We start from the raw sequence: 12,152 nt of genomic DNA, 5'->3' as shown, positions 1-12,152 counted from the left end.
TTCCAGGCCTCAAGCTATCCTCCCACCTTGGCCTCCCAAAGTGCTGGGACTACAAGCCTGAGCCACAGCACCCAGCCAAGAGTGAATATGGTTTTGAGAACATCTTTTCTTCCAGAACCTCAGAGTATTTGGAGCACACTGATGACTGTGTCTTCTAGGATGCATGATACACTTAATCATCAGCTGGAACTAGGGAAAGCAGAAGGCCACAAACCTTCTTTGAACTTCGTATTTTAGAACCTGGTATTTACTATGACTCTCTCACTTATGAAGCTAAATGATGCTTCCCTGGGAGGCTGAGGCAGGAGAATCACTTGAAACTAGGAGGCGAAGGCTGCAGTGAGCTGAGATCACACCACTGCACTCCAGCCTGCATGACAGAGTGAGAGTCCATCTCAAAAATGTTCCCAAACCAACATCTACAAAGCTATCAAGGAAACTGCATGCTAAAAAAACTTATGCCTTCAAAAGTATCATTAAAAAACACAGAAGCAAAACATAAGTACATCTTTTGGTTGTACAAACCCTAAAATGTTGTAGTTATTCAATTTAATAGGCAATAGATAAATCAAGCTGTTTTTAAGAAGCTTTTGCAGGAAAGAAGAGTATTCATTTTTAAAATGATCCTGTGTGGAGTGAAAAACCAAACACCATATGTTCTCACTTATAAGTGGGAGCTAAGTATGAGTACACAAAGGCATACAGAGTGGTATCATGGACGTTAGAGATTCAGAATGGAGAGGGTGAGCGGGGGCTAGGGATAAAAAACTACACATTAGATACTATGTACGCTACTCAGTGATGGGTGCACTAAATTCTCAGAATGCACCACTATAATTCATCCATGGGAAAAAAACTCACTTGTACCCCAAAAGGTACTGAAATAAGGCTGGGTGCAGTGGTTCATGCCTGTAATCCGAATACTTTGGGAGGCCAAGGCAGGCGGATCACTTGCGCTCAGGAGTCTGAGACCAACCTGGCCAAAATGGTGAAACTTTGTCTCTACTAAAAATACAAAAATTAGATGGGCCTGGTGGCGCACATCTGTAATTCCAGCTACTCGAATTACAGGAGACAGGAGAATCACTTGAACCTGGGAGGCGGAATTTGCAGTGAGCCGAGATCATGCCACTGCATTCCATCCTGGGCGACAGAGCGAGACTCCATCTCAAAACAAAAAACAAGAGAAATTAAAATAAATAAATAAAAATACACACACACACACACACACAAATGATCCTGTGTAACTACATTTAGACAATGATAATGACCATTAGACCCAAAAATGTCCTAAATATTCCCAGTTATTAGAAGGCCCATCAGGAATAAATTTCATAGTTATCAAGAGAGATTTATGGTTCTGGAATGAAAACTGAGAATTTCATAAGAATGTCTTCAAAAGCATAAACAGCAGTGAAAGTAGCACATCTCCTAGGGCCACAGCACTTACCCTTCAACCAAAGACCAATTAGAGACCATAAGTGGGCAGACTGACTAATCCAAAAATCCCACCCACTTGATAAGTTATCACAACTCAAAAGACAATAACAGTAAGAGTCCTACTTAAATGTCAGATTTAGTCTAATTCTCTCAAGTGATTCAAAACTGAACATGAAAAATCCTTCTAAACTAAAAAAAATCAAGGAGCATAATTCCTTACCATTTACAGTCAGTTTGGCTTTCTGAGAATAATTAGAACCAAAGTGATTAGTAACAATACACTGATATTTTCCTTCATCTGTGAAATTCACATTGAAAAGATGTAAGATACTAGTATATTCCAGAGCTTCTCCAGCTTGCTGCCAATAACGAACAAAATTCTCAGTATCCACGTCATACAGGATTTCACTGTCTTTGCGCCACACAGTGGACATGGGTGAATCACTGCTGCTCACTGCAGTGCACGTCAGAGTCACATTCATGCCTCTTAGAGCAATTATGGTTTCAGGATGTGTCCTTATCTGTGGCTTGAGAAAATCATCTAAGGGGAAAAAAATGCATCCGTAGCCAAGTCAGTTATTTATTTTTGCTTTAGATTCAATTTTAAAAAATACTATAAAATTGTGTGTTCTGTTTACAAAGTGGCATATTAAAGTTGAAAGAGACTACAGAGCTACAGTCCAATTCCCTTGTTTAAAGATGGGGGAAATGAGGCCCAGAAAATTCAAATGACTTGCTCAAAGACATGTCAGTCAGTGGCAGAGCCTGGATTGGAACTCAGGTTTCCTGACTTCAGGATCCAGCACTTTTCTACTAGCCCTTACTGTCACCTGTGTGCTCAGAATATATTTCTCAAGCATTATCAGTTATTGGGGAAAAACAGAAACCTTATATTAGGATTTCAAGACAAGTTCTACTTCTATTACCCCTTGTATATATGTATGTGATAGATAAACATGTATATGGCCAGGCACGGTGGCTCACACCTGTAATCCTAGCACTTTCAGAGGTCGAAGTGGGTGGATCAACTCAGGTCAGGAGTTCGAGACCAGCCTGACCAACACGGCGAAACCCCGTCACTTCTAAAAACACAAAAATTACCCAGGCGAGGTGGCGGCCGCCTGTAATCCCAGCTACTTGAGAAGCTGAGGAAGGAGAATCACTTGAACCCGGGGGGTAGAGGTGGCTAGTGAGCCGAGATCACGCCACTTCACTCCAGCCTGGGCAAAAGAGCGAGACTCTGTCTCAAAAAATATATGTATATATATAACCATTATCCTTTCTGTGCCAATATAAAATGGGGGGATTATGAATGATTTATATTTCACAGAGAATACCTAATAAAACAAATTATTTGAAAGCATTTTGTATGTGCACGGGTTTCACCTGAAGTAGTGAAAAAATCCAAATAGGTCAAATGTCCAGCTGAAGATTGGCTTAGGACTGGCTAATAAAATATGGATTCATAATTAATAATGTTATTGGACTGATTGAGAGAAGCAGGTATATAAATTCTTAACCAGTATCTCCACTGGATAACATTTCATTGTGCCATAAAAGCAGTTAAGTGGAAGGGGAGGAAGAAATATATGGTATGTCTATATTTAAAACTAAGTAAAAAGGGAATGTGCGGCAATGTCAGCAGAATTTAACCTTTACTAGATTCTGTTTTCTTCTTTAAACTTTGTAAAAAACAATGGATGTATTTTGTGAGCCCGAACTTCCAAGTGTGTGTTCTGTTCCAACCATCTTTAAGTACATTGTGAAAACAGATTTGGCAATATATAGGTACTCAAATGATCAGAGATACTAGGGATATCCAACATAGATACACTGATCTAAAAGTTCTCCTATGTAAAGCTAAGAATCAGTCATTCCACTTTAAAGAAAAAAAAAATTGTTTTTTTGAGACAGAGTCTCACTCTGTTGCCCAGACTGGAATGCAGTGGCACAATCTTGCCTCACTGCAACCTCCAACTCTCGGTTCAAGCGATTCTCCTGCCTCAGCCTCCAGAGAAGCTGGGATTACAGGCGTGTGCCACCACGCCCAGCTAATTTTTGTATTTTTAGTAGAGTCAGGGTTTCGCCATGCTGGCCAGGCCGGTCTCGAACTCCAGACCCCAGATGACCCACCTGCCTCAGCCTCCCAAAGTGCTGGGATTACAGGTGTGAGCCACAGTGCCCGGCCTAAAGGACATTTAAGTGTAAAGGAAAATTTTCCAAATTGAGAAAGAATAATATAGAAGTATACTTGAAATTGTCTGGGCACGGTGGCTCACACCTGTAATCCCAGCACTTTGGGAGGCAGAGGCAGGCAGATCACCTGAGGTCAGGAGTTCAAGACCAGCCTGGCCAACATGGCAAAACCCCGTCTCTACTAAACATACAAAAATTAGCCAGGTATGGTGGCACACGCCTGTAATCCCAGCTACTCAGGAGGCTGAGACAGGAGAATCGCTTGAACCCGGGAGGCAGAGGTTGCAGTGAGCTGAGATCGCACCACTGCACTCCAGCCTGGGTGACGCAGCAAGACTCCATTAGAAAAAAAAAAAAAAAAGTATATTTGAAATTATAAGTGCTAGAATCAGGACAACTTGTCTATGACTATCTCTCTCCCCTCAAGGAAAAAACAAAACTCTGCCACTTTAATGTTATGAAACCACACAAAAAATATGAAACACACAGAATCAGTATATTCATACATTGCTGGTGACAACTTTAAACTAGTGCTATCTTTTTGGAAAGTACCTGGTGGCACTTTTCAAGATCTACTAAAAATGTTCATATAAAAAAACTCATATTGCTTGATTCAGGAATCTGACTACCAAATACCTAACCTAAGGTTAACAGTCCCTCTAAAAGAGAAAAGCCTTCATTCATTAAAATGCCTGTGATCATTTTTAATGGCAATTAAAACTGTATGATTACAAAAATTCCTAGTGGAAAACCATTCTGGTTTAATTTTTTTAATTCTGTTAAGATTATAAGTGTGTAATATATAAAATTTTAAAACAAAAATACAAACCACAGACAAAATCTTTCAGATCCACATTCAGGATGCTTTGCCCTGCTAGCCATTCAGGGTGTGCACAGCTTACATTCACAGAATGTTGAAAGTTATTATCAACCAACCATTGAAGTAGCCACTTCAAATGGCAGTCACAGAGCAAACTGCTTGTGTTCAGAATCCTGCAGGAAAGAAAAGAGGAAAAGCATCCTTTGTTTTACTTTTCATTCTAAACGTCTTCAGTATTAAAACCTTACCACACACCTATCCATTATTCTTGCCAAAAACATTTAACATAAATCATGAGAAAACAAATTGAGACTGTCAGCCAAAATTCTTTAAATATATCAACCTCATGAAAGACACTAAAAAAAGAGAGGGGAAGAAGGGTGGCCAGGGATCTGTTTTGAAGACGACTAAAGAATCATTACAATAAAATGAAATGTGTGATCCTTGATTGAAAAAAAAATCTGCAAATGACTTTTTTTAACATTGGGGAAATTTGAGTATGGACTCTGTATTAGTTAATATTACCTTATCGATGTTAATTTCTTTGGGTGTGGTAATGGTGATGTCTTCGTTAGAAAATGTACTTGTTCTTAAAAAATACATGCTGAGATATTTAGAGGTGAAGTGTCACCATGGCTGCAACTTTTAAATGGTCAGCAAAAAAACTGTGCATATATGTATATATATATTTGTGTGTATGTGGAGAGAGAGCAAGAGATAAAATGAGAGAGGAGGAGGGAGGGAAATAGAACAAATTCAGCAAAAAGTTAACAATTGGTGAATCTAGATAAAGGGTATGGGGTGTTAATTGTACCTTCCTTTAAATTTTTGAGGTTTAAATTTTTCCCATGAAAGTATGGGGAAACACTTACTATATATTGGAGCATTGAGAGATCTTTGTTGTAGACAACATATAATTATTGTCAAATTATTTCATCAACACTAAAAACACTTCAGCACTAGGCCAGGCTCAGTGGCTCACACCTGTAATCCTAGCACTTTGGGAGGCAGAGGCGGGCGGATCACCTGTGGTCAGGAGTTCCAGACCAGCCTGGCCAACATGGCGAAACCCTATCTCTACTAAAAATACAAAAATTAGCTGGGCGTGGTGGATGGCACCTATAATCCCAGCTACTTGGTAGGCTGAGGCAGGAGAACTGCTTGAACCCGGGAGGCAGAAGTTGCAGTGAGCCGAGATCACGCCACTGCACATCAGCCTGGGCAACAGAGTGAGACTGTCTCCCAAAAACAAAACAAAAAGAAAACCCACTTCAACACCGTGCAATGTGTAATGCAATCTAAACTAAGAGCACTGAAAAAGTATTTGTGGTTTATAACCCTGTAAAACATATCTGAAAAATCAGTATTTTCTCTCAATGACCCCTTAAATGTCCCATCCACTTAGAAGCAGGGAAAGTAAATGATTTTGAGAACTTGCTTTATGTGCATGATCAAATCCTTATCAAGTTTAATGTTTGGCATAAAGTATCTAAGATCTGATTCCACAGAAATTTCAATTTTAACTCTTTTTTTTTTTTTGAGACAGAGTCTCGCTCTGTTGCCCAGGCTGGAGTGCAGTGGCGCAATCTCGGCCCACTGCAACCTCCGCCTCCCGGGTTCAAGCGATTCTCCTGCCTCAGCCTCCCAAGTAGCTGGGACTACAGGTGCGTGCCACCATGCCCAGCTCATTTTTGTATTTTTAGTAGAGACGGGGTTTCACCATATTGGCCAGGATGGTCTTGATCTCTTGACCTCGTGATCCACCTGCCTTGGCCTCCCAGAGTGCTGGGATTACAGGCGTGAGCCACCATGCCTGGCAAAGTTTCAATTTTAAGAATGAAAAAAATTGACTTACATTGTTCAACTGTTCAAAGTTGACATATTGTTATTAAACAAGAGGGGCACTGGCAAAGATTACTATGCTTTTATAATGCTTTAACAAGTTTCATTGAGTAATTTTTTCTCTAACAGTTGGTTTGAACAAACTGCTATTGCAGGAACTTTAACGCAACTGTGTTTTGAGACAGGAACTTGCTGTGTTGCCCAGACTGGTCTCTAACTCCTGGACTCAGAGGATCCTCCCACCTGAGCTTTCTGAGTATCTGGGATTACAGGCATGAGCCACCACACCTGGCTCTAATGCAACTTTTTTACTGAGAATTGTTGGTTGCTTTTGGTTACTTTAAAAGTCATATTTATAATACTTTTTAGGTCAACATTTATTAAAATCCCTCTATACTTTTTGGTATTCCCCACAAGGCTTTGCATCAATAACAGGAGGTGTATGAAAAACTTGCATATAAATTTTAAAATACTTTCCATTAAAGTTATATAATTATAGTAGAAAATTAGAAAGTACCACTAAACCAAGAGGGAGAGAAAGCTCCTCAAATCCTCACTACTCAAAGACAACCACTAGCAATATTTTAGTATAATCTATCCACACATTTGTTGAGAGAATACCGTATACTCTGTTAAGTACTTGTGCTCAGGATTTGGTTAGTATATGAAGAATGGAAAGAAGCAAAAGACACAGAAGTGAAGGAAGCTACTGTGAATTAAGTTTTGTCTGTGGCCAGGCACGGGGCTAAATACTTTATTTATTTATTTATTTATTTTTTGAGACAGAGTCTTGCTCTGTCACCCAGGCTGGAGTGCAGTGGTGAGATCTCAGCTCACCGCAACCTCCACCTCCCAGGTTCAAGCAATTCTCCTGCCTCAGCCACCTGAGTAGCTGGGATTACAGGCACATGCCACCACGCCTGGTTAATTTTTGTATTTTTAGTAGAGACAGGGTTTCACCATATTGGCCAGGCTGGTCTCGAACTCATGACCTCGTGATCTGCCCGCCTCGGCCTCCCAAAGTACTGGGATTACAGACATGAGCCATCGTGCCCGGTTGAGGTAGGCATTTTCAATTCCATTTTCTAGAAATGGAAACTGAGATTTTGGAGGCATTCAGTATCACGTCTAAAATAAATGGTAGAGTTAGGATATGGGCCCAGGTCTTTTGAGTCCAGCTTATATTATACCTAAGAAAACATAAATTGGATGAGGTCACTCCTCTTTTCTAAAGATACAAAAATTAGCTGGGTGTGGTGGTGGGTGCCTGTAATCCCAGCTATTCAGGAGGCTGAGGCAGAACTGCTTGAACCCGGAAGGCAGAGGCTGCAGTGAGCTGAGATCGTGCCACTGCACTCCAGCCTATGTGACAGAGGGAGACTCCATCTCAAAAAAAAAAAAAGACTTTTATTTTGCCATGATGTGTAATCTCATGGAGGCTGAAGAGACATCTAGGGGCTGTCTGGATATCTCCAAAGCCCATCTGAGTGTAGATAAAATACTTAGGCTATTTCCAATTGTTCTTTTTCCTTTTCAACCCAAGTCATTACTTTTGGGAGTCCCCAAGTCCCCTGAGAGATCCCCAGGAAGGGTGGGGGGCCTACAGTCCCAGTGACAAAGAGTCCAGAATGAGAAGGAAAAAGTCTAGCAGTGGGTGGACAGATGGATGGAGGATGTAAGAATTTGAAGGGAGTCATATCAAAGGGCTCAAGGGAACTGGAAGGAACATTAAAGGTGGTAAGAGGAGGAATAAGGAGCAGTAGCAATGGGAAGAAAGACAGCTTACAGGATGCAGTCTGGGGAGATCTTAAGTATTCCAAACAGGCCAATAAAGGTCCAACAAGGAGGAGGTGGACAGAACCAGTGGTGGAGCAATATAGTTAGCAGGGGCTCAAACAGAGGGGATTCAGATGCCAGAGAAATTGCCATGGGAGAAGTAGGATCCATTAGAGACAACAGAGTAGCCTCACAGAGTTCCAAGGACTTTTAGTCCAGGGAGTCAGGGAATAAACCCCACTCAGGAAAGAGAGCCAGGAAGAAGACCTTCAAGCCCAGGAGGTACCTTTCAAAAGAAGTCTGGCCTCTAGCCCAACTCCAGAGAATATATTCACAATCTTGAGAATCGAAATCTTTCCTTACCAGCTTCAACAGATGTTTGTCCGGAGCAATGGTTCGTTAGTCTGACTCACCATTGGATCCCCGATCTATCAGTCAGGAGTGAAGACAATGGCTTCAAAGGTGCACACTTGGGGTCCTGGGTGAGAGGTCTGGGGGTCCAATGATGAATCTGATCCTATCGGAGTCACAGCACCGTAACTGTTAAATAAAAAATTACTCAGTGATACTTGTTAAAGCATGGTAAGGTAGACGTTATTCAGGATCATCTCAATAGATATAGGGACCACGGCAATGTGATGTTGCAGCTGGGGAGAGAGACTGGGTTCGACTCAGTGAGGGAGAGACAGTAGGGAAACAGCAAGGGCAAGTATAGCCAAGGAGCAAGGTGGGTTTGCTTTCATCCCACTCAGTGGATGTGAAATTACTAAAAAATAACATCCAGAGTAAGGAAGACTCTGGCTAAACCCTAACAGGATTCTTGCTGAAGACAGGCCAGGGTGATCAGACATCACCTGGGAATGGTCTACAATGAGGAAGAGTTCTTGCTAAACTGGTTTTACAGGGTTTGTGCTAAAATTGGATTTTACACAGCTAGGCCTAGGAGAAGGTTTAAGGGCTTGCCTACGGGTTGGTCAAGCAAAGAATCTTTGTGACAACTCTCAAATTACTAAATGACTCTCTGAAGATTGAGACTGCAATATTTGCTTTGACCTACTGTTTAAATTTTATGTTAAACTGAGTTCTTGTAACAGTTAAAACTTTCTTGCCAGCTCTCAGGTTATCACTGGCAAAAAAAAAGGAGGGGGGCGGAGTATACTAATTTGTAGTAAGTCACAACTTATAATTAAACTAAGCCTATGAGAAATAACTCAAAATATCTCAACAGATCAAAATATCTACTTTAAAAATCTGGCAGAAAATAACTATGATGATTTTCATAACATTTTAATTTTAGTTTTTATTGTTAACATTACTCAGCTTCTACTCTGTGCCAAGCTCTGTGCTGAGCATTTTCTCAAAACCCTCCAGTTTCCTAATGCATACAAGAAAGCAAAAATCCTAATTCCTCATGGTCTATTATGATCTGCCTCCTAACTCTCTCTTTAAAAAGAAAAATATGAACATAATTTTATTGTTGGACCTATTAAAACTGTAAATTCGATATGCTTTTCAAGAACAACAAAAAAGGTAAGTTAGAACAAAGCAGTTTGGGGTAAAAAAAAAAAATATCTTGACAGGCCAGGCGCGGTGGCTCATGCCTGTAATCCCAGCACTTTGGGAGGCCGAGGCGGGCGGATCATGAGGTCAGGAGATTGAGACCATCCTGGCTAACACAGTGAAACCTCATCTCAACTAAAAATACAAAAAAATTAACCGGGCGTGGTTGGGGGGCACCTGTAGTCCCAGCTACTCAGGGGGCTGAGGCAGGAGAATCACTTGAACCCGGGAGGCAGAGGTTGCAGTGAGCTGAGATGGCACCACTGGACTCCTGCCTGGGCAAGAGCGAGATTGCATCTCAAAAAAAAAATAAATTAAAAAAAAAAATACTGGAACAAATGAAGAGAACGACTAATGAGAAATAAGATGATTAATATCAAAAAAATTGTAGATATTTAATTATTCTACTCTGCTTAACTCTCTAAACTCATTTTACTTCCTACTCCTTGTGCCTGGAAAGCCATTCACCCAGTGTTCACATGGTTTGCCATTTCATTAAGGTCCTGGTTCAAATGCTGTATCTTCAAAAGAGTTTCCCCTCACTGCTTTATCTAAAATAGCAATCCCCACCACTCTTCATACCTTTGACTTAGTTTTTTTTTTCTTCAGTTGTTACCTGATGAGATATTATATATCTACTGGTCTATTATTTATCTTCCTCACTAGGATTTACTGTAATATGCTATGAGTACAGAGACTCTGTCTTGTGCACTAATGTTTTCATCATCCAGAACAGTATCCTACATAGCAGATGATGAATAAATATTTGAGTAAACAAGTTATCTCACTTTATCTTCACATAACCCTGAGGGAGGTGCTATTCCCATTCTGGGAAAAGAAACTGAGTCATAGGCTAACAGTTTGCCCATTATCACACAGTTGTAAGGAATGGAGTAAGGATTTGAACCTAGGCAGTTTGAAAACTCACACATTTCCAGTGCATCTCAAATTATCCATGGTAAGGACCAGTCTTTTAAATTTCCAATCCACTGCAGACTAATACTTTTATAAACTACAACAAAAGTGTCACAGTAATGTAAAATTGTTCTAAAAGTTTCTAAAGGCTTATTCTGCATTTCTATCCTTATCTTCTCATCAACCAGTTCTGCTCCACAGAGTATCCTTTGAGTAGCTTCCCAGGCAAGGCAAAATAATTTCTATAATCTAGTGGTTCTTACCCCTGACTGCATATTTGAATCAATAGAGTTTAAAAATAATACCAGGCGGGACCGGTGGCTCACGCCTGTAATCCCAACACTTTGGGAGGCTGAAGCAGACAGATCACCTGAGGTCAGGAGTTCGAGACCAGCTGGCCAACATGGCGAAACCCTGTCTCTACTAAAAATACAAACATTAGCCGGGTGTGGTGGCAGGCGCCTGTAATCCCAGCTACTCAGGAGGCTGAGGTGAGAACCGCTTGAACCCAGGAGGCAGAGGTTGCAGTGGGCCGAGATCGCACCACTGCACTCCAGCCTAGGGGATAGAGTAAGACTGTCTCCAAAAATATATAAAAATATATAAATATAAATAATACCAATGCCCAACTAACCTCCAATCCCCTAGGGAAATCTCGAAACCAGTAAGAACAATTTTTAAAACTCATCAATGAAAAAGGGTATAAAATGATACATACACACACTTGTCTATTTTGACATTTTAGTAGTTTGAACAGGTTAGAGAACCGTCTCTGACAATTATACTAACTGTTAAATCACCTCGGAAACTATAAAACAAAATCACATAATACCTTTATTGTAACCCACACAAGGTGTTAAGAACTGGTAACACATGTTTCTGATAATCCAAAAAGGAACAGTAGGGTATACATAAAGCATAAGGAGCAGTGCTGAGGTCTCCTAATTATAAGCATTGGTAGAACAGGCAAAACAGAAGGTCTTGGTGCCACACACTCTGGGCTTTTCAATGTTGGCTATTTTAAAATTACCTCTAGCCGCTTAAATAACTGAGTATTAATACTTTCTTTTTTCCTGCCTGAACTGTGTGCTTTTGGAAATAACTTGGGTCACTCCCATCACACTTTAAGCACAACAAGCAGGAACAATGATCCAACTGGTGATTTTAAAAAGACAAGTTACTTACAGTTCTTTTAAATGAGTCTGAGAAAAAGCATTTTCTTGGATAGACATTATAGCATTATTGTTCAAATCTCTGAAATAAAGAGAAATGAAACATTATCAGTCACCATTTCTATATCAAGTTACATAAACACTTTACATGGTCATGAAAACCTCTGCTAATAGCAAAGATTATTTATAGAGTAAGCAAAATGTATGCAAAATACTTACAGATGCTCAAGGGATTCAAGACCAATGAATGCTTTCTTTGTAATTGACTTAATCTGGTTTCCTTGTAAGATTCTGAAATATAAACAGATCTTTCTAAGAAAGCTCTCCACTAAACAAAATTAAATTCATTAAACATTTACCTATAAAAAGTGAAAATAAGCGTAGCGTACTTTTTTATATACTTAACAGCTTTACTGAGGTACAATTGATAT

At 40.1% G+C, this 12,152-nt stretch overlaps 1 protein-coding gene across 5 annotated transcripts in view; it reads right to left on the bottom strand.

Moving 5' to 3' along the window:
* LRIG2 (leucine rich repeats and immunoglobulin like domains 2) overlaps positions 1 to 12,152 on the bottom strand; it is a 59,063-nt gene that overhangs the window by 20,038 nt on the left and 26,873 nt on the right. For 4 of the 5 annotated variants that reach the window (NM_001312686.2, NM_014813.3, XM_024451227.2 and 1 more), the window contains 4 exons: positions 11,941 to 12,012; positions 11,735 to 11,803; positions 4,466 to 4,629; positions 1,661 to 1,981 (listed from right to left, as the gene is read on the bottom strand). In NM_001312686.2, coding sequence (NP_001299615.1) covers positions 1,661 to 1,981; positions 4,466 to 4,629; positions 11,735 to 11,803; positions 11,941 to 12,012 — 626 coding nt within the window. The remainder of the gene's footprint in view (positions 1 to 1,660; positions 1,982 to 4,465; positions 4,630 to 11,734; positions 11,804 to 11,940; positions 12,013 to 12,152) is intronic. The other variant, XM_005271369.3, reaches the window with a different exon arrangement.

Source organism: Homo sapiens, chromosome 1 (assembly GCF_000001405.40).
Source record: "Homo sapiens chromosome 1, GRCh38.p14 Primary Assembly".
In the NCBI taxonomy this organism is placed as follows: domain Eukaryota; kingdom Metazoa; phylum Chordata; class Mammalia; order Primates; family Hominidae; genus Homo; species Homo sapiens.
This window is presented reverse-complemented; position numbering and strand designations above follow the sequence as displayed.